The sequence below is a fragment of the Homo sapiens genome, chromosome 1, assembly GCF_000001405.40.
Source record: "Homo sapiens chromosome 1, GRCh38.p14 Primary Assembly".
NCBI classification, from domain to species: domain Eukaryota; kingdom Metazoa; phylum Chordata; class Mammalia; order Primates; family Hominidae; genus Homo; species Homo sapiens.
In genome coordinates, this window is record NC_000001.11 from 33,599,078 (window position 1) to 33,621,424 (window position 22,347).

Sequence of the window (22,347 nt, forward strand, 5' to 3'; positions counted from 1 at the left end):
ACCTTGGGGGTTAGGATGTCAGCATATGAATTCTAGGGGGGCCTAAGCATTTACACCATAGCAAGGGCCTTGTGTCTCATCTGAGAGGCAGAAGGAGCATTGTGCCCTTAGGCAAGCACTCTCAATGAAAGACCTTGCTGAGAAGAACTTGGAAATAAGGATGGCCTGGGGCTGTGCTGAGCCTCCTTTGCCTGGTTCTGGTACAGGTGAAGGCTCAGGAACAGGAACAAGAGACCTGGCCTACCACCAAGGTAACTTTACACCAAGCCTGTCAATATCTAGATATAATAAAAATAATCATGACAATGATGACTATTAGAACTATAATTTATTGATCACCTTTTATACTCTGTGCCTGGAGCTAAGGATTTCCAAGCATTGTTTCATTTAACTTTAGGAGGTTAGGTACTTATATGATTCCTATTTTGTGCATAATAACATTGAGGCTCAGAAGGGTGAAATGACAGACAAAGTTACATAGCTTGCATGTGTCAGAGCCAAGGTTTGAACCCGTCTGTGACTCTGAAGTCCATACTCTTATCACTCTATGGGAAAGTCACAAGTCAAAATGACAGAGCCTTAAAGCCTGGATTTCATTAGTGGAGCGACAGGTGTGCCCAATGAGAGGGGCATGGGAACTGAGCAGATGGAGAGGGCGGAGTCTCATTCCCACATTGCACTCACCCTGGACGATAGCTCCTGGGAATGGCAGTCACAGCTGCTTAGGTTCTTTACATCCTTGTTTCTCTCTGTTGCTTCCTGTTTCTTTCACTACCTCTTTCACAGTCTTAGTGTGTTTCTGCAAGTGCACGCATGATGTAATAACACTGTATAGTCACACCAGAGCAGATACTGTAGCAGATACTGCAGCAGATACTGCGGAGGCTGGGTTCTGTTTCCAGTTCTATCCACATGGTTTTGGGCAAGTACTTGAGCCTTCCTTTGCCCTATTTCTTCATTTGTAAAGTGGGGGTTAGAATATTTGCCTTACTACCTCACAGAATTCTTACAGGTCACAAACTCCAAGCCGGTAATTCTACAGGTGAAGAAACTGAAGTCTCAAGTGGGGAAGGGACCTGTGCAAGGTTTTACACAGCTGGCCCAAGGTGGAGCTGGGAGTAAAATCCAGCTTTCCTGATTTCTGGTTAAAATATCTGCAGTGATCTGTAAATTGCAAATATGTGCATCATTCCATAGATAGGCACAAGTCCACAGAGAACATTCTATAAGTTTCTCTAGGCAATTCCACTATAATAAAAATGAGGAAATATCCAGATCCCTAACTTGGGACTTGTAGAAGAAAACAGGCTGCCAATAAAGGCATACCTACTCTGAATTGTTCATACTCTTCCTACTCAAAATCACAATATCTTCATTTGTGCACAAAAACACAGTGCTCCTTGAGAGGTCAGCAGAAGCCCTAGATCCCTTTGGAGAAGGAGAACCCGCTAGAAAGTGCTAAGGGATAAGCTGGGGCACAGGTATAGGGATGATCCAGCCAGTGAGTTGATGTGAATGAGTGGACTTGGCACCAAGGTTTGGGCTTCTGTGCCTCTCTGCCCTGGCAGTGTGGAATAGGAGGAAAACTTGCATTTACAGAACCCTGCACTGAGAGCTCTCACATAGGCTAATACATTTAATTCTCATAACTCTGAAGACACTGAGGCTCCAAGAGGTTATACAACTCACTCAAGGTCACATGATCCGCAAATGGTGGAGACGGGAGTCAAGCTCAGCCTTGACTTGAAAGCCTGGCCCTTCCCACCAGGCCAGGCTTCCATACTGACCGGAGAAAGCTATGGCGAAGATCCCCCCTGTGGCTGCATCACGGTGGAACTTGAGCAGGACCTGGTTGGATGAACTCTGCACTGTTTTCTTGGCCATGCTCCGGGTGAAGACGCCGAGCCGTGGTGCTGTTTGCTGTGGCCCATCCCTGTACACAGGAAACAAGGTCCTGGCATGTCACTAGTCACCATGGCTGCCTGCTCCACTTGGTGCCATCAGTGGCCTTAAGACAGACCTGGAGTGGGAGGCTATGATTCTTTTTGTACCAACACTTCCCCACACCATGCCCTAAATACCTCTCCCAACCGTTCCCAACTTGGTCTCCCAACATAGTTGATAGAATTGGTGAAGCTCACACTGATTCCTCATCCACCTGATTCTTCACCAGCCCAATGGGCTCCTGGGCAAATTTAGGCTCCATGGAGCAGGGGTGTGGGTCTTACCACAGGTCCTCTCAGTCTGGGGCAGCACTAGGACAGGGCTGAGGAGCTGGTGTGAAAACCTGCTGCTATGCATATCGGCTCCATGCTCCATTGCCTTGTCTTCCAAGCAAAGAGTATACCCACAATGCCTTTTGGGACAAAAGATTTCTTCCCTGAAACCTTATCTAACCCCTCCTGTCTGTTCCTAGCCATTGCTTGGAAATCATGCTGGAAATTAACCCAGGGCAGTCTGGTTACAGTTATCCAAGCCCTGGGAATTTTGGAAGAGAATTCCCCTAACCCCGATGATTCTCAGAATGGCAGTAACCACCAAACAAAGGAATTTTAAAATTATTTGCTCTTCCAAAGATCCAGTGGTTTGGGAAGAAACTGTCCAGGAAACTGCACATATCAAATGCTAATTTGTATTCCCAATGTAAAATTAACTCTTGTTGTATATAACTACATAACTCAGAGCTGAGCTGTCCAATTCAGCCACTGCCAGCCACACATGGCTATTTACATTTAAATTATCAAGATTAAATAACATTTAAAAATCAGACCCTCAGTCATATCCAAGTACTCTGTAGCCAGTGGCTACCATATTGGGCAGCATAGACATAGAACAGTTCCATCACTGCAGAAAGTTCTGCTGGAAAGTGCTGGCTCAGCACCAGATGACCAACGGGACATCACAAAATTCCACCTCAAATCTCTTCCATTAGTCTGGGTGGCTTAGCCCAGGTACATGTAGAATGTTGGTTTGAACTCTGGAAATACCGAGGAAAGTCTGTGTACCCACACCTACTCCCATTAACACACCCACTGGTACTTTCCCTGGCCCTGGCAGGGTTGCAGGCTGGGAGCCACTGCCCTCCCATTCCTCTCCCTTTAAGGAGCCATAATGGCCAGTTGGAGCTGAGCCCCATTCCACTATGTTTATTTGAAACCCAGGAGGCTGACAGCCTTTAAAAACCATTCACCTCTTGGTTTTTCTAAACCAATAGGTAACTGACTGGTAACCCAGTGTAGAACCCCAGTAATGCTCCTTTCTAATTGGCTGTTGACATGGCACCTGGCCTACCAGATGGTGATGAAATCTCCAGAGGGCTCTGTCTGCAGCAGGCTGAGGTTGAGGCGGACGCCATGGCCAATGGGCACGGTGATCAGCCAGACACAGTCCTGGGAGCTGGAGTACGGGCTAGGGAACCCCGGGGAGTACACAGTGCCGTTGGAAGAAGTGATGTTCCCGCCACAAGGGACTGCCAGGGAGGGAACACAAACGTAAGTGCAGGGCCTCGGTACCCACCTGAGAATTCAGATGCCTTCCTGAGGAAATCCCAGCTCCCAGAACTAATCATCCTGTCAGGGAGGTTGGGTGGGATGCGGAAGGGGAGGCCAAGCTGAGGATGGCTGCACCTGGTTCTACCCACCAGTCCCCACACAGAACACCCTGGCTGGCTCTCAATCATCACTGCAGGCCCCTCTGTGGGTCTGCCTCAGCCTCCCTCTTTCTCTTTCTTATGAAGAGAACTGCCAAGAAGAAAGGATGCCCTGAAGCTGTCCCCTCTCCCTTCCCAGGAATGGGAGGGAGCAGACGTTAGGGTCAGAGCTGCAGTGCTTTTGCTGGGAAGAGCTAAGAAATTAGGAAAGTCTTTCTTTCTTCCTCTTTGATCTGCTCTTTCTAGAGTGGTACTTGTGGTCTAGACTTCGAGTTGAGGGTTCCTGGGGTGAGGCTAAGGTTGGGTTCAAATCATAGCTGAACGATGTATTGAGCAGATAGTCTTAGATAAGTAGTTTAGCCTCCCTGAGTCTCCATTTCCTCACCTGTAAAATGGAACTAAGAATACCTCCCCCATAGGATTGTGGTGGTGATGAGGTGAAACGATGCAGGCAAAATGTTCAGCCCAGGCCCTGGAAGAGGACGCATTTGCTATGTAGATAAGATCCTCTCTCCTTATCTTCCTGTTCCCCAAAAGCAATACTCAATTTTAGTCTCACTGATTTAGGCCTCAGGCAGGAGGATGAAAAGACTTTGACATCTTCATGGTATTCAGAATCAGTCACCATGGAGGAAAATAGATGGGGATGGTGGACAAAAATCCCCAAACACCATGGTCCAGAATAATGAGTGTTGTAGCTGACATGGGGCATCAAGCAGACATCTGGTTGGGGCAGACCAGACTGAGGAGAGAGAATCCCAACAGATTCCAAGCAGAGGCCAGGGGTCCTGTGAATGCACGTACATCCTGAAAGTGGTGCACAGGTACACGCCATCCCTGCTACATAAGCTGAATATCTCCTGGGTGCCAGCCATGGCCTGGGAGACAGTGGGGAACAAGGTACTCTAGTTCTGTCCCAGGCACACACACCACTGGGACACAGCCAAACACACCAGCATCTGTAGCACAGGCTGGACCATGTCATCATCATGAATGCCACGGGGGTGTTTGGGGGAGCCCTGCATCTGGTTTTGTGAGAGTAAGAAAGGACTCCTTCTAGAATTCATATTTATACTCAGACCTAAGGGATGACTAGGGTTAAGTAGGCAAGGTAAGAGAGAGGAATGCTGTATGGGAAAGGAACAACATATGCTAAGACCCAGAGGCAAGAAAACATGGCACATTGGAAAACAAAGTATTTCAGCTTAGGCTGGAACATAAAATCTGCAAGACTGGAGAATATGGGAGGTCAGCAGGGACTAGGCCCTAACCTAAGGGTCATGTGTGCTATATTAAGGGGCTTAAAATTTGCCATTAGGGACATGGGAGAAAGCAAGAGAGTATGGTGTCAGAGAAGCCAAGGGAAGAAGGCTTCTGAGGAGGAAGAACAGCTTCTGGCTCAAGCTAGCAGACTGAGAAAGCGCTGCTCTTTTCTCTCTCCTGTGATGCCACAAAAAGACAAACAAGGTGTGAGAATGGAAGAAAGCCCAGGATGAGGCTTGTTGCACAGCACGTGATGGGCCAACAATTGCGGAATGACCAACTGGTTACGCAGAGCAGAGCTCTGAAAATCTGAAAAACTAACTGAGGCTATAATAGTTTTAGAAATCATGGTTTTACATTCCAACACCAGAACGGCTCAGTTTCGCAAACAAGGTCCTCTTTCCATCGAGAGTTAAACTGAGAGTTTGAGTCTGAGAGTGAGCCATCTGTGAAGTCCTCCAGCTCTTGTGAAATAAAGATGAGAAGTCCCACTTTACTGAGGAAGAACCTGAAGCTTAGAGAGGCAAAGGGGTTTGAGTTGGAGCCTGGGGTGATCTGATCCTAGAGCTGGGGCACTCTTTCCTGGATTACTGCCCTTGCTAAGGCTTCCTTTTTCAAGACAAATTTCTGCCACTCCTCCAGGAAAATGATGGGATGCCAGAATGAAGAGGGAAGGCAAATGGAACTGAAGTGTGCAGATGAGGGTGGAGGCAGCACAAGCTCTTGGTCACCTTCCTTCCTGGTTCTGGGTAAGGAAGAAGACCCAAGAAAGTGCCACCTCCAGCTCCCTGATAGATCAACTCAGGTCTCTCCAGCCCTGTGTAGAAGGAGAGTATAATGGAGCAGGGAGGGGGAAGATGAAGAGGGGAGCAAGAGAGTTCTTATAAAGAGGCTTCATGCTCTTCTCCCTTTGGGCAGGTGCCTGGATTAACTCTACCTCTCTAGCTCTCAGCATACCACTGGGCTCCCACTCCCTCACATGGAGCCTTCCCTTCCAATGGGAGTCCTCCAGTCTGTCAGGGTGGATCTTCCCAAGGGCTGGGTGTGTCTTCCTCTTGGCTGTGGCCCACATCTCCTCCAGGTCCTCCCTAGTGCTGGCCCGGAGCCCTGTCACCAGGACCCTCTCCCTGGAGAGGCTGGGCCACACCATGTGAAAACAGGATGGACCACAGTTTGCCTGGACCTCCAGCCCTGGAGATCCCACAGAGCAGGTAGGTGGAACATGGGATTGCTCTGGACCAGTCTCCACGAGTACCCCAGGAAGAACTGCTGGGGATGAGGGAGCGACATACCTTCACACTTGGGCAGGGGGTGGTCCCAGTTCCGGTTGGTGCCATGTTGACACGTGAGGACAGGGTGGCCAGTCAATTGATACCCCGGGAGGCACTCGAAGGTCACTGATTGTCCCACGTTGTAGCCAGCTCCCCTCACAATGCCATTGGCAAAGGGCTCTGGGTCTGGGCACTCTTGAAGTTCATAGGCTGGAAAAGATCCGGAGAAAAGGTCACTTTATTCTCTCTGACCAGAAAATAGGAGCGGCAGAAAGCATAGTGGTGAAGCCTCAAGATTTGGACTCAGATGGACCTTTGTCATGTACAAGTCATTGGCTTTGGGTAAGTAATTTAACTTGTGTACGCCTCAGTTTTCCTGTGTATAGAATGATTATTTTGAGGACTAAGTAGGATAACACATACATAGCTCTTTCCACAGTACTGGCACATGGTGAAAGCTCAGTAAATAGTATCTATTATTAGTAATTCCGTAGGAAAAGGAGGCTCAAGGAAGACATTGCTCAATTGAACCTCTATTCACTGAGTGCCACTGGGGGCCAGGCACCAGCCTAACTCCTTTCATGTTGCTTATCTCATTGAACCTTCACAACCAGGATCAAGATCCCAGACATAGGAAGCGGCGACGGGAGGAGTTGAGTTGGTTCTTTCCAACTCCGAGAGATCAAAACCTCTCAGGAAGGAAGAAATCTGGTGGGAGTAAGTCAAATCTGTGGCAAGGAGAGAAGCTTTTCAGAGGGAGTAGCTGGGCTAAGGGACGTGTGGCTGTCACAAAGCAAGTCCCTCCAAAGGGCAGGGAAGCTGTTTCCATGAGAGTGGGTGGCCTGACTCCACAGGAGATGCCTCCATGGAAGCAGCTGAGGCCAGTCCATTGGGGAGAGGCTGCTGAGGGATTCCTGAGCAAGGCCTTTGATGAATTGGGTCCACAGGACACAGAACAGCCTTCGTGGCAGTAATTGCGCCCACTCCACTCAGGAAATTGGCAGCGGGAGGAGACAGAACGTTCCTACAGTGGGAATCCTCAGTGGAAGTAGTTGGGACTGGATAGATGCTTCTTAGAAGTACATGTGTTTCTCATACGTAATAACAACATCAATAACGCGGATCTTGAAGATAACATTTCCTGAGCACTCACGTGGCTGTGTTATGTTTCCATTCAGTACCTCACAGGGAAGTCTCAGGGGGAGGAACTGGGCAGGTTTCCCTGGGAAATCATTGAGGTAATTGGGTGTGCCAAAAACTGAGCAACCACATGGGTGGGGTGGCTGCTTAGCCCCAGGACAGGCCTGGCCCTGCAGCACGGGGGTTTGGGCCGTTTGGCAACGAAAGTCTCAGCGGAAGCAGGGGGCCTTTTGCCCAGGGAGGCAACCCAATGGGATGGGTTGGGTCTTTACAGAAAGGCTCAGGGTAGCCACGTGGACTCAGAGACGGGGAGAGAAGGAAGGGAGTGGCTGTGTGTGGGAAGCCAGGAGCAGCCTTGATGAGAGCAGCTGGGCCTCTCCTACAGGAATCATCTCCAGTGGAAGGATCTAGGCTCTTCAAAAAGACAGAAACTTCAGTGAGAGTACCTCAACACTGAGAGAAACCTCAGAGCCTGTTCCCCTGCAAGAAGCTTCAAAGGGAGAGGTTGGCCATATAAGGCAGAAATAAACCCTAAGAGGAGGAAGGATGAACTTCCCCAAAGAAGGACTCCTCAGGAAAGCAAGTGGGTTTGTTCTAAAGGGACACACCTGGTGACAGTGGGAACACACTTCCAAACAAAGTGCCATAATCAGGTAGATACAATTTCAAGCAAAATGCCATTATTTTAAAACATTAATAATGATGATGCCTAGCATTTGGGGACAATTGTACATCTTAGCCATTTTGCTAAGTTCTTTATAAACAGAACCCTCCTGAGAAATTGTCATGGAACACATTAAGCATGTCGGACCGGGAGGCCTGGCTAGGAGTTGCTTATGCTGCTACTAAGAACTTGATGGGAATCTTTACTTAAAGAAGAGAAAAGAAGACCCTAGCATGGGAAGTGCAGAGTATCAGTTGGAGGAATTTTGAGAAAGAGTAAAGAGTTGGACTTCTAAGGAAAGTCGAGGGGCCATAGAGAGCTGGGTCTGACAGAAACAGCCTCAGTGGGGACAAATGGCTCGTTCATTGAAGCTGGGTTTTTCCCCAGAGGAAAAACCTGGGGAGAGTGGTCAGAGCTTGCTTACGAGGTGCCGCTCCGTACGGCGGAGGAAGGTGTAAACAGAGAGTGTGGGCTTATGGTCAGGGAGAGTTATTTGGGCCTATCACAAATGATGAGGCCTCTGTGGGAATACTTAGGCCTCTGGCCCTAGAGGCAACCTAGCCCAAGAGGTTGGGATCGCCCCAAACGAGAAGCCTTAATAGGGGTGGAGCCCAAGTCTGAGGGGAGCAGGTGCCCCGGCACCATGTGTGGCTCCACAGGAGTCCTTGGGACTGTGGCAGACAGGTGAACGCTGAGGGAGTGGCTGTGCCTGGGACTGAAGGGGAACATCCAGGCAAGTCCTGAAGGTCACATGCTTGTGGGAGGAGGGGGCCCATTATAGGGTGGAAGCCCCATTGGATGTCGCTGTGCCTCTCACATGTTGGGCCAACTCCTGGTGGAGGAGCTGGGTGTCTGAAGGCAACTCGCTGCCCCCTGGCCTCCCTACGCAGGGAAAGTTATCAGAGGAGGACTGGGCCTGTGGAGGCTGCAAACCTCAGTGGGAGAGACAGGCCCATCCCAGGGAGGGACACTAGTCCCGAATGTTGGCTTGTCGTCCAGGAAACCTCAGGGGGACAGCGGGGCCCCTTGTGCAGGGTGGCCATAGTGGGAGCATTTCCAAAGATGGGGGCTGGGGAATCAGGGGCGAGTGAGCCCAAGGCCAGGGCTCTGTGGGGGTAGTTAGGCCTCTTCTGTCGAGGGAGTCAATGGAGAATCTGAGGCGGTCACACAGGCACAACCTTTACAAGGACAAGTGGGCTCATCACACGGGGAGCACAGCGAGTGGCTGGTCCCATCACAGGGATTCAGTGGCAGGACCGTGCCCATTGTCTAGGGTGAAGGCACAGTGCACGGGGTGGGCCCAGGGCAGCTGTCCCTGGCACAATGGTGGCACTGCCATTCCTTATATTTATCCGAGAAGGAAGGTCTCAGGGAGAGAGCACTTGGGCCTGGGAGGGGTGCAAGGGGCTGAAATATGTCTCCCAAAATTCATATGCTGAAGACTTCACTCCTTGTGAATATGACCTTATGGGAAATAGACAGGATCTTTACCAAACTTATGGAAATTAAAATGAGGTCACTAGGGTGGGCTCTGATCCAATATGACTGGTGTCTTTATAGAAGGTGGGAATTTGGAGACAGAGGCACATGAAGAGCACCATGTGAAGATGAAGCCAGAGGTCGGGGTGATACTTCTAAGAGCTGAGAATGCCAAGATTGTCATGAACTACCAGAAGCCAGGGGAGGGGCCCGGACAGAGTCTCCCTCATGGGCCTCAGAAGGAACCAACTCTGCTGACACCTTGATCTTGACCATCCAGCCCCAGAGCCATTGGACAGTAAGTTTCCGTTGTTTAAGCCACCCAGTTTGTGGTACTTTCTTATGGCAGCCCTAACAAACTAAGACACAGGAAAGCCTTGGGGGAAGGCGTTGCATCTGTCTCTGAGAGGACATATTTGGGACCAAGTCCCTCCTGTGACATCACGGCCATCCGACGCGTCATGACCTGTTTGACAGGTACACACCTCCCAGATAATAGGCACAGACATCCTTGGGCAAGGCTGGCCTCTGTGATGAGCCTGCACACACCTTCCCTGGGTGTGGCAGCTGTGCTAACACCAGTGAAGTGGCTCTGTCTGGGTGCAAGGCCCAGCTTCTCCTGAGGCTCCCTCTAGATGACAAGCCCAGCCGCACTTACCAAAGCTTTCCCTGAGATGGACCCCGGAACCCTGAAGTCTCCTGCAGAACTGATTCAGTTGCACCCACCTCGTGGGATGCCCTTTAAGGCTTTCCCTAAATGAGAAGCCCAGTACCCCCTCAGTATTCTTCTCTGGCAAGGGAGGAGCTCCATCCCCACCATATTATTTCCAGAATAAAGAAGTCAACTCTCAGAAAGCTGCATATAGGATGGTACTATTTATATAGAAAACGTGGTCAAAAAATTTTATAAAATGTTACATATTTTTCACAGGTACATGTAGCATACATATATCCAGGCCTGGAAAGGTCACAACTAAACAATAGTAGCCGTTTCTGGAGAATAATCCTGGGTTTGGAGGCTATAGACAAAGAGAGCTTTGGCCTTACTTGTAAGGTTTTAATTTCTTTCTTGTATTTTTCTTTTTTTAAAAGATAAATATGTTTGTAAATTGTTTGTGTAATTAAAAATTAACTTTAAAAAACAAAATTGGAAAACTATAGTACGATCCAATTTTGGCTAAAAATATAGCTACAGCAATATATATACCGAGAAAAGCGGGGAATACATATTGAATTGTTGAAAGTGTGTATCTCTGCATAGGGTAGTGACAGGATGGGATTATGGGAGGATTTTGACTTCCTGTGACGGGTGTTAGGGCCTGAATATTTCTGTCCCATCAAATCCCTATGTTGAAACCTAATCCCTCATGTGAGGGTATTTGGAGGCAGGGCATTTGGTGGCCCACCCTCCTAAATGGGATTAGTTCCCTTATAAAAGAGGCCTGAGAGAGCTCTTTTGCCCCTTCCACCATGTGAGGACGCAGTGAGAAGATACTGTCTATGAACTAGAAAGTGGGTCTTCACCAGACACGGAATCTGCTGGCACTGTGATCTTGGACTTCCTAGCCCTCAGAACTGTGAGAAATAAATTTCTGCTGTTTGTAAGGCACTTGGCTTATGGTATTTTGTTACAGCAGCCTGAGCTAACACAATGTGCTCACAAAATTATCTACAGTGTTTAGATTTTTTTTTTTTTTTTTACAAACATGAATTAGTATTGGAAAAAAAATCTAAAAATATTTTTAAAAATTCAGTGGAAGAATCTGGGAAAGGGATTAGAACAAATGCTTCGGTCAGTCACAATAAGGGAAGCATCCAAGGGCGAGGTTGGGCTTACTCAGGACCATGTACAGCTGCACAGGTTGGGCACAATCTCCACATCCACAGGTGATGGATGGTCTACAACACAGGGGAACCTGAGTGTAGATGGGGCTCTTTCCAGGGAATGTCCCAGAATGAGTGGGGCCGGTCACGGGATCCCACTTCAGAGAGGTGGAGCTGTGGTGAGTGTGGTTGGGCCTCACAGGAAAACCTGCTCCTTGTGCAAGGCTTAGAGGTGCCCTTGGGACTGTTACTAGAATCCTCCATCCTGTCATAGGAAGAGCTTTGCTGAGAGTAATTGGGCTTGATGTGCAGGGAAGGACCCTGGGGAAGTAATTCAGTTTATCAAGCCCGAGGGGAAGTGACTGGCTGGACAGTTTGGGACACCTGAGAAGGCACAGATGGGCCACTTGCCCAGGGACAGCTGTACAGAGTGGGAGCCTCAGAGGGTGCTGTTGGGCCTGCCACTCTTGAAAAGGCTGTGGGAGAACTTAAGCTGACAAATGGGGTCCGGAGAGATCTGCCACCAAAAGGAAGCTTCCCTGACTGGGCCTGCCACCGCAACCCACCCCTTATGGTGTTCTGTTTTCCCCCACATGGAAGGCTGGGAAGGTGGGTGGCTGGGGCAAGAGATGGAGATAGACAGAGAAGCAAAGGCGGTGCTCCTTGTCCTTACCCTGATACTCCAGCTTGAATCCTGGCCGATTCTGGGAGTGGTCGCTGTGGAAATACACGGTGGTCTCGTGGGACGTGGAGAGGAGGGAGCTTGGAAGCTCGCTTCCACTGAATCTTCCCATCATGCGGCTGGTCTCATAGGGGCCATTCCGGATTTCTATGTAGTCGTGGTTGGGCTCGGTGGAGAAGTTCAGGAACTGGATGTGAGCTCCTGGGAGCAAGACAGAGGCAGACAGTGCCCAAAGCAACACAGTCCTGCCTCAAGTGTGCTGCCTCATGAAAGCAGCTCCTGCCAGAGCCATGAGTCCCTGCTACTGATTTCCCACCCAGCCAAGGCTCCTAGAACTGGCTTTGGGAATTGCCCGTCCAGCCAAGTCTCTTGTCTTTGACAGGGCTGAACTTAAAAGTGTATTATTCATTCAAAAATAAAGGCATCAGTCATTTCAGAGCTCCACTGGAGTTCATTTTATTTTGTTGAAAACAAAGTTCAGGGTCAACACTTGTTTAAATTTATGATTCATATGTCCAATATCAGCATAAAGATAGTTTTGCTAGAATAAACTTTTCATTTAAAAATAACACCCCCAATACTTAATCAAAAGACAAGACCTTCAATACTGCTGTTTTCTAGAACTCTTATGATAATTCAGAAACGTAGGGCTTAGAAGTATACATTGTCCCCTCTGTTCCATAAAGAAGCCAAATAAAGTTTCTACTTTGGGATCTTAGTGAGTTAATCAAGACATTCTAGCAACCTGACAGGTTAAATAAATCTAATTAAGTTCTTAATGTACATAGTAATATACTCTTTCAAGAACGAAGGTGGGAACATTTATGTTTGTTTACTGATAAGATTTTTCAAAATTAGATCACCATGGAAAATGTTATTGAAGAAATATATTTACTGAGCATAGGAAAAAGCCCATATTGCATTGATAATTGTAAAAATCAGATGACAAATAGTATGCTGTATACAATTCTAATTTTTGTATTATAAAACATGGAAGAATATTAATTTGCCTGCTAGGAATATTTGCTGGGCATTTGCTGTACATCAGGGCTGTGCTAGGCATTGTACAGGATGAGCAAGATCAAGAAGGTCCTTGTCTTCATGAGACTTACATGGTAACGCTGGGAGACTAAGCCATTAGTGATTATCGCTGCACGATGAGATTATAGATGGATTTTCATTTTTAAAATTGGCTTATCTGTGCTATCAAATAAGCTCAGAATAAGCACGAGTATAATTCTTTTTGCATCTGATCATTTAAAGAATAAAATAAAGACTCGACACTTAATGTTGAAGATCTTTCATCTCCTGCCCTGTTCCATTCCTTTCCTGCCCTCCACAGAAGCAATCACATGAATTTGGAAGCTATCCTTCCAGTTCATGGTTTTGGATTCTTAAATATGTATCTGGGTTTATGTGTTTTCAAGATTTACATAAATGATATTATACTGTACATACAGTTTTTTACATAATATTGTGTTTTTCAAGGTCTATCCATGTTAATATACAAAAATATAGTTCATTCATTTTAACTGCATGTTAATTCCATTTTATGAATTATCCAACCATACAGTTCACTCCCCAACTCATGAACATGCAGATTGTTTCCAAGTTGCAGATAATTTTGTGATGGTTTTTTTTTTTTTTTTTGAGACAGAGTCTTGTTCGGTCGCCCGGGCTGGAGTGCAGTGGCACGATCTTGGCTCACTGCAAGCTCCGCCTCCCGGGTTCACACCATTCTCCTGCCTCAGCCTCCCAAGTAGCTGGGACTACAGGCACCCGCCACCAGGCCCAGCTAATTTTTTGTATTTTAGTAGAGACGGGTTTTCACCGTGTTAGGCTGTGATGACATCTTTGTATACATTATCTGAGGAGCCTGTGCTTTCCATTCCACTGCCCAGGCATCGTCCCCTCATATAGGAGCCCTGCGGGCTGCAGGCCCACAGAAGGGGCTCTTTAAGGATGGCGGAATTTCTGACTTGAACTCCAAGGAAAGAACTGGACTGTGACCGCCATCTAGTGGAGCAGCATGTAGCTGCAGCAGCTCTTTACACGCTGAGACCAGGTACCAAGTTAGGGACCTCGGCAGAATCCAACATTAACTTGAAAGCAAGGGATCCCGGGCCTTTGCAACTGGACCCAGCAGTAGCTTCTTCCCTGAAACCTGAATTAGCACCCAGAATTTAGAGGTGAAAATGGTGGCTGAACATAAGGACTTACAGGGAAAGCCACCTCATTCAAACTTCTGTTTGCCTTTGGATGTTGCCCTCCCCACCTTCTATCATCTTGGTTCTGCCTCAAGACTGGATGCAGAGGTACAGGGTCTCCCAGATCCTCTTAATGTCTCAAAGTCTGGAGTCTCCTAAGACTGCCGAGGGCGTCATCGCTTTGCTCCCAGTTTCCTTCAGAAGATGGTACTGAACACCCAGTTTCCTTCAGAAGATGGTACTGAACAGAAAATAACATCTTTCAGAGGGCCACCAAGCTCTCTCCTCCCCTCCAACCGGATTTAGAGAAGGCCAGTTAGACTGCTTTCTCCCAAAAGCCCCTTCCCTAATCTCTAATCACACTCCAGGCTGAATAATGAAGGATAAAATGGGAGATCTTCATTTCTGAGGCTCACAGACTGGCATTCAGGGCTATGCAGGCATAATCCCCTTGGGACATTTCATTCCTAGAAGCAGTGCAATGGCTTGGGCAAGATGACCCGTGCGTACGGCCCATCAGTTCCATGTCAGCACAAAGCCCTCATCCCTTCAACAGAGACATTTGGGTTAAATGATATTCCCAGTGCATAATATGTGGATCACCAGCAATTACATTTTGTACCCACACTGATGTCCTCCACACCCTGACAACCTCCCATGCCTAGCATACTCCAGCTCCAAAAACAAAACAAAACAAAAATAACCCCCCAAAACCAAAAAAACAACCTTCCCAGTCTCTAGGCCAGCTAGAATGTGCATACGAAGAAGAATGCAAACTCGATTTCTCATTGATTTGGCTCAATTTAATTAGGATGATAAATTAGACACTGGGGTTAAAAGTACAACTTGAGGTCCAGTCTCTGTACGACAGATTTCCGCCCCACCCCCGCCTTTTTTTTTAAGTCCCTGAGTAATTTATTTTTATTTTTTATTTTTAATATCAAGTGATACAGTGTTAGTTAGGTATAATCCGAGTAATTTCTCATTCCACATTCCTGGATTTTAGTTTATGGCTCAAATAATAATAATGGCAACCCCTAAGATTTTTCTCCCCCCTATATGTTAATCTCTGCCATTCTTAATTGGTCTTCACAATTGTACAAGAGGTCAACAGATGAGAAAACAGAGAGGCAGAGTACTAAACAGACTTGGCCCAAGTTTGTGCTAAGAGATTTTGGCGGACAGTAGTTTTAAGCTCAAGGGTCTGGGCTTGAAGCCTGTCTCCTCTGGGGGCTGCAGAGACTTACCAAAGCCCACGGGCAGTGCTATTTTCCAGGAGCAGTCCATGTTACTGGGGTAGTTGCCTGGGAAGCCGGGGCTCAGGATCACCCCCTCCATCTCCTCCACTGTTCCCCCACACTGTGCTGTGACAATGAGATGAGACAGAGGGTCAGGACAACATCAAGGGGTGTACAGGGCCCTGCCAATGTTTGGAAGCTCCCTTCAAGCAGCAGTTTTTAAGCTTTCATGAGTCATATAGCCCCTTGAGAATCCAAAGGAATCTTCTTAAAAGACTAAGCCCACGGGCAACATTCAATATGTACATTCAGGAAGGGAGGTACATTCTAGGACAGCCTAAAAGTCCACAAACCCAAGTTATGGACTCTTGACCTTGAACATGCCCTTCACAGGTCAGTTCCCTGGTGAGGATGTCCAGGAAAAGTGAGGAAGTTCTGTGCCAAAAGAAGTCCAACCATTTCTTACCGTATCCCCCAAATCTCCCTCTCCTCACTGCCCAATCTACTCTTTCAAGACTGCAGAAAAAGGATGAAGGAAGGGGACTGGCATGCATCAAGTCCCCACTCTGTGCCCGGCACCATGCCAGGCTCTTCTCAAATATATATTTCAGGGGGCAGGGTGGGCGGCAGGGGAGGCTCACCACGAGCCCATCCTCAGAAAAGTGACGGTGATCAGCATCCCACAGGAGCCAACCACCAGGCTGTCTGAGTGACCCAGGGGCTTAGGGACATCTGATATGCCAATCAAGGTGAATTCAGAGTCATCTGAGGATGCAGGGCTGGGGCACCCCTGCAGTCTGGTCAGTTGACATCAGTTCTTTTCTTTTGCATCTTATTAGGAAAAGGTTGTGTGAACAGAAAGGGGCTAGCCAGTCTTAGAGACCCAGGGAAAGGATCATAGAACAGGGATTGGCAGGTCCAGGCAAGTGCTTTCTGGGGAGAGGACAGCTTGGCAAACAGACCCGAAAACAGTGCAGAGTAGGCTCCAGCCTCGACTGCCTGTGTCACAATCCCACCTTCACTTCCGATGGGACCGTGGGCAAGTTCAAAACCCTCCAGAACTCGGTTTCCCACAACTGTAAAATGGAACTAGTGACAGCACCCTTCTAATGGGGTTGTTGTGAGGTCATATCAGAAAGGACTGCATTTACTTGGGACAAGGCTGGCACATGTTGTAAACCCCTAATGAACAGCAGCTGCCGTTAAATGAATGGTTTCCATAGCAAGGTCTTTGTAGTCTCTAATGGGGGAAAGTGCCTTGGGCTGACCGTTCACATTTCTGACCTGCTCCACAGATGCCTATGCCCTACACCGTGGTGAAACCACAGAAGAGAAATGCCATCGTGCTTGAGTGTCACTCCCTTACCTCCCTGCCCCAAGGTCAGCCTTGAGGGGCACCTCACAATCGACTGGGCACCAGAGAACCTTAGGTTTCCGTTCCTGACTCTGCCACTTCCTTTTTAATCCTAAAAGACTGAGATTTCCTGTTTGCAAATTGAGGGTAATGGTACCTCCCCTGCAGGGCTGATCTGAGGAAATATGAAGCTCCATGCCTAGCATATAGTAGATATTAAATAAATGTGCCTTTCTTCTTTGCCTAACTGGACCAGAAGCTTCTGAAGGGGAGATGCTGTCTTTTCTTGTGTCTGCTGATCTGCTCATCACTGCCGTAGCACAGGGTAAGGGACGAAGCCAAGTCCTTGTTTCGCACGTAGCCCTCAGCATTTCTTTTCCTTTTTTCTTGTCTTTCGTTTTTTTTTTGGGACGGAGTTGTGCTCTATCACCCAGGCTGGAGTACAGTGGTGCAGTCTCAGCTCACTGCAACCTCCGCCTCCTGGGTTCAAGTGATTCTCCTGCCTCAGCCTCCTGAGTAGCTGAGATTACAAGTGTGTGCCACCACATCTGCCTAATTTTTGTATTTTTAGTAGAGATGGGGTTTCACCATGTTGGCCAGGCTGGTCTCGAACTCCTGACTTCAAGTGATCCGCCTGACTCGGCCTCCCAAAGTGCTGGGATTACAGGCATGAGCCACTGCACCCGGCCAACCTCATCATTTCTTTATTAGATTTGTCTGTCTGTCCCACAAGAAGTCACGGGGGAAGCCCAAAGTGCCTAGAAATTCCATCTGGGATCTGGTTGATTAACTAGAGCCAGAACGGTCATCATCATGTTTTCAAATGGGCAGACCTCCTGTAACTTTTCATTTGGTGGGGCAGAGTTTCCAAAAGTGATGACTGCATTAAATGGGAGTTAGAGATTATAAAAACATCAGTTTAAAATGACTGACTTGGAACAAATCCAGAATATCAAACTTTCTTCTGATTTGAACTTGAACTCAATGATACACTACTGAGCTAAGATCCCTGAGAGAAAATTGGTTGGAATGAATTGTAAAGTCTGGGCTGTCTTACCAATACAGAGTGGAGGAGGGTAGTTCCATCGCCGCACTGTTCCGGGCATGCAGGAGATGTGGGCGTGGCCCTGGAGGAATCAGGAACAGGGATGGGCTAGCTGTCCCCGTGGGCACAATTGTATGTACAACCAGGGGCTGTACAGGGGTCTGGTTCAGGGGCCTCATGTTAAGGAACAAGATACACAAAGACACACAGATCCACTGTGGGATGGGAGTGAGGTAGAGGGAGAGAGAATTTGGGGAAGGACAATTATTAACAACGATTACTAAAGAATTCTCATTATTAGAGGTTTCCTTGTGAGAGTCCTTTAATTACTAAATTCCCTGATGGCCTTCAAAGGGAAATTAAATTTCCCTAAAGCCGAATCAAACCCAACTTTGCAGGAACACATTGGAGGTTGGCTTGTGCCAAATTGTTAAAGTCAGCAGAGTTTATCTTTTGCATGAACAGCTCCAGGAGAGGATAATGGTACCCGGGGGACCTGGGGGCTGCTCCCTGTTCTTTGGTGACTGTAGCTCTGCTGGTGTAAGGCTGGCCAACCACATCTCAGGGGACACCTGTTTCCTGCTCTAGGGTGTCAGGGGAGGTACCTGGAGGGCATATCCCGGCTCACACTGGAAAGACACCACATCATTCACCAAGTAGCGCTCGCCAGTCTTCACCCCGTTACTGGGCACAGCAGGTTCCGGACAACTGCTCAGGCCCACCGCTAGACAAGACAGAGACAGAAGGAAAGGAGAATGGACTAGCCCAGCAGGTCAACGTGGCGGTAGGCTGGGGTGAGATGCTGGTGGCAGGGAGAAGGGGTGCTTCTAATTTGTGCTTTCTCTCATCCTGTAGGCTAGTTCTTCCCAACTCTCTTCACCTTGCAGCACACAGAGAAAAAGAGTATATTTACATGGCACGGAGGCTCAACAGACCAAAGCTCCTTGAGAAGGTGGGTGTGATCCCAGGGGATGCTGGCTGTCCTGTCCACTCACTGAGCTCTTAGCTAGGGGGCTTAGCTAGGGAGACTTCTCTGCATGCTCTCCTCCCACATCCCTCCTGCTTCTTACTCTTAACTCCCCTCTGTCTTCCTTACCCTAAGAAGACAGATCCTGTGGGCTAAGACAGAGAGACAGAGAGAGAGAGAGGGAAAAGAAGGTCAAGAAGGAAGGAGAGCAGGGAGGGACACATCAGCGATGCTCAGGGGCTCAGTTAGAGTCCGACTTTCCAAGACTCTGAGAAAAGTGTGTTAGCAGATAAGACTCTCCACTGCCTTATTTCTCCTGTTGTGTTTTCAAGGTCAGGCCAGCCCCTTTCTGGGAGCAGCACTGGTGGCCTCTCACACTTCAACTCCCGTGTTCAGCTCTGGCCTCACTGAGCACTGGCCCCGCTAAAACCCTCCTTCATCCCCTACCCCAAGCCACTGCTAGTCCAGTCCACCCTGCACTCACAGGCAACTCGTGTTGCTTAAAATCTCTCCTTGAATTGTGGGACCTCCTTGCTCAGTGATTTGAAGCAGGTCCTCATGGCCTATAATATGGAATCCAACTTTCTCATCCTGATGTTCTAAGGACTTTCATGATCTTGGCCTAGTCCTCTTTCAAGATCACCTCCACAGGATCTCAAATGCTCCTCCTTCAGTCTCCTTTCTTGACTTTTCAAATTCAACCTGCACTCATTTATTCCTCATTACATGCCTGGCATTGCACACAATGTTTTGCTAGAGCACCCAGCTTAATCTTCCTCCTCCTCCTTTCTGCCAGTCCATACCATCTTCCCAAGAGAAGTGCTCACTGAGCACTTCCATGAGCAAGGCTGGGGCCCATTGGTGAGGGTATCCCCTCATACCCTTCAAGCAGGTCTTCACATCCCATTTCACAGATGAGGACACAGGCCATAGGAGGCACTGAAACATTTCCTTAGTAAGCCACAGACCCAGGATTCAGACCAAGCCCAGTCTGACCCCAGGTCGGCCAAGCAGAAGCCAAGCCCTGAGGCCACATGAGCCCATGTCTGACCCTGTCCCCTGCTCTCCCTGCCTCCCCTCCTAAAACAGTCCTCATCCTGCTTTGAATCCCTCCCTGGCTGCCTCCCACACAGCAAATGGGAGTGTAGCATTTCCAGACAGGGGGCTTCCTGCCTCTCCTGTGCTCTGCAGGAGTCCATGTACAGGTGCAGGCACTTCACATGCACTAAAAAGTTTCTGTGTCTTGCTGGACTGGACTTGGAGGGCACTTGTCCAGGGGCAAGGGCCAGAAGACTCATGAGGAGGCGGAGAGGTAGCTGTAAACTCTAAAGTGGTCTTCCTAACCAAGGCGGCAGAAATGGAAGGATGGCAGACCGTATCTGGGTGGCATGGCCCAGAGAATGTGGGAGATGGCAGCCTTGGCCCTTCTGGAGGCTCCCTTGGGGGATACAGGCTCCTTTGGGGGATACAGGCTCCCTGAGGAGCCCACGTGTATCCAGTGCCCACAGGCAGCTAGGGGCTCATGGAAAAGAAACAGGAAAGGACCAATCAGCCTAGACCATCAGCCACCAACCCATCTTCCCAGGCAGCAGCTAATGAGTCCTCATGCCACATTCAGAGATGAGACTCTGATAACTACATGTGCTTTTTTTCCCTCTGAGGGAAACTCACATATAACAAAATGCAAAAACTGTGCATGAACATGGTAATAATCAAGTAAACATCATAATCTTGAGTGTACATGTGCTGAGTTTTGACAAATGCCTGTACCTTTGTAACCCAAACACCTGTCAAAACCACAGAACGTTGCTATCACTCTGGAAATTCCTCACACTTTTCCCAGGCAATTCCTGTCCCACATGTGCTTTTAAGATATGAGTGTGATATTTGGAAATGAAAACTCTTTGAGCCTTGTCCAAAACTCTCAGCAGCTGAGACAAAAGACCCCAAGGACAAGCATTAAAAAAAACCCATCAAACTGAGTTTCAAGTGTTTCACTTGTCATCTTGTCTATTTCTCCCCATTCCTCTCCACACTCCAAGTAGAACAAAACTCACTATTTAGTGCAGTAGTTGCAACTAACTAGACCTACTTATTGGAAAGACCTACTTACTGTCCAGTGATGGAGAGAAGAGCAGAATGAGGACAAAAAAGCGTGGTAGGAAGAAAAATGGAATGGGAGAAAGATGAGGCTGAAGAGAAAAATGGAGGGGGATATAGAAAAGTCCATTCTAACTTATCTTATGCTACACAGATTGATTTTATTTAAGCCATGCTTACAACAAAGGAAAAATTATTTTTTATCATATGTAATTTATTACTTTTGAAAGCATATTGCTCCATTTCCATTTAAATTAAATAAACAATTATGAATCATAGCAGTGGATGTGACTTTTCAGTACCCTTCAAAACCATTTGCCTGTACAATAGCAGTTAATTCTCTATTGTCTGTGAGCTCTTTGTAGATTATCCTACAAAATAAAATATAACTACAGGGCCCTGGCTCCTAGGAATTCCAGTCTCCAAATACCAGTGGGAAGCTCTGTTTCTCCGTAGCTCTTCCCATCATGAGGGGACAACACATGAAATGTCAGCTACTGGGAAAACTGCCAGTCCCCTTGGACGAAGAAAATTGAGAAGAGGTGGATTTTTTTCCTGGGAATGAGGCAGTAGAATGGCAAAGTGATTTACAAAGAAAATGTATCTTTGGAAGAAGAAAGAACAGAGAAGATTCTAGGGAACATTTAAGAGCTCAAAATATTGGATAGAGAAAACTGGAGAGAACAGAGAAGAAGGGATGAAAGGAAAAAAATGTGATTTAGTCGAGAAACCCAGGATATTTCACTCCACCAGGGGAGTGAAGCCTTACATATCTGCTGGAAGGAGTCTCAGAGGTCCCTGTCCTACCCTTTACCCTGCAGGGTCTGCTTCTAGCTGTCCTGGGTCTTTTTTTTTTTTTTTTTTTTTTTTCCAGGTGCATGCTTCAGTTCTTTCAGGTGATGAGCATCCTGGGACCTGTTTAATTCTTTCTGAAGCAGCTGGATGAAGTTCATTTGTTTCACAGACCCAGATGGGCATGTGCATAACACAGTTCTGACCCAATCAGACATCTAGCACCCAGTGGGCCTTCTTTCTGCACAGGCCCATGCTGTCGCAGATGGTCTAGCCAACCATGCCTTCCTGCATTTTTCACTTCTCATTGCAAACTTAACTCAGGCATCCCCTTCTGCAAGGCCTTACATGGCTAGCTTTAGCTCCTTTCCTTTGTACTTTCTTAGCATCTCTCCTTTCCTCTGCACTTTCTTAGGTTTCACTAAAATGACTGTGCCCATGTCCATCTCTCCTTCTAGATTTTGTGCTTTTGAAGGCAGGGGCCTTGTCTTATTGACCTTTGTACTGCGGGGACCTAACACAGGGCGGGGCACATTGCAGGTGCTCAATGTTTCTTCACAACATTTGCATCTCCACCCGCCCACAACCATTCTCTCCCTTGAACCATTTCTCTACCATCTAGAGCCATCCATGAGAGCACCTGTAATGCTGTCATGCACCTCTCTGTCTATG

General features: G+C 47.8%; 1 protein-coding gene across 12 annotated transcripts in view, besides 3 other annotated features; it reads right to left on the reverse strand.

Moving 5' to 3' along the window:
- CSMD2 (CUB and Sushi multiple domains 2) overlaps positions 1 to 22,347 on the reverse strand; it is a 651,845-nt gene that overhangs the window by 85,080 nt on the left and 544,418 nt on the right. For 10 of the 12 annotated variants that reach the window (XM_047443685.1, XM_047443656.1, XM_047443666.1 and 7 more), the window contains 7 exons: positions 18,422 to 18,540; positions 17,829 to 17,898; positions 15,427 to 15,543; positions 11,964 to 12,173; positions 6,205 to 6,393; positions 3,292 to 3,469; positions 1,788 to 1,933 (listed from right to left, as the gene is read on the reverse strand). In XM_047443685.1, coding sequence (XP_047299641.1) covers positions 1,788 to 1,933; positions 3,292 to 3,469; positions 6,205 to 6,393; positions 11,964 to 12,173; positions 15,427 to 15,543; positions 17,829 to 17,898; positions 18,422 to 18,540 — 1,029 coding nt within the window. Of the gene's footprint in view, positions 1 to 309; positions 1,934 to 3,291; positions 3,470 to 6,204; positions 6,394 to 6,785; positions 6,912 to 11,963; positions 12,174 to 15,426; positions 15,544 to 17,828; positions 17,899 to 18,421; positions 18,541 to 22,347 lie in introns of those variants that run through there. The other 2 variants (NM_052896.5, XM_017000192.2) reach the window with 2 other exon arrangements.
- Positions 5,908 to 7,107: an enhancer, noted in NCBI's record as "BRD4-independent group 4 enhancer chr1:34070585-34071784 (GRCh37/hg19 assembly coordinates)". NCBI's record gives its function as "activates an origin of replication core promoter dependent on BRD2, P300/CBP, MED14 and CDK7 cofactors, and independent of BRD4, by STARR-seq in HCT116 cells {active_cell/tissue: HCT116}" and the evidence as "EXISTENCE:reporter gene assay evidence [ECO:0000049][PMID:35650434]".
- Positions 8,385 to 8,885: an enhancer, noted in NCBI's record as "H3K4me1 hESC enhancer chr1:34073062-34073562 (GRCh37/hg19 assembly coordinates)". NCBI's record gives its function as "activates a minimal SCP1, AML or CMV promoter by ChIP-STARR-seq in naive H9 embryonic stem cells {active_cell/tissue: H9 hESC(naive)}" and the evidence as "EXISTENCE:reporter gene assay evidence [ECO:0000049][PMID:30033119]".
- Positions 8,886 to 9,386: an enhancer, noted in NCBI's record as "H3K4me1 hESC enhancer chr1:34073563-34074063 (GRCh37/hg19 assembly coordinates)". NCBI's record gives its function as "activates a minimal SCP1, AML or CMV promoter by ChIP-STARR-seq in naive and primed H9 embryonic stem cells {active_cell/tissue: H9 hESC(naive and primed)}" and the evidence as "EXISTENCE:reporter gene assay evidence [ECO:0000049][PMID:30033119]".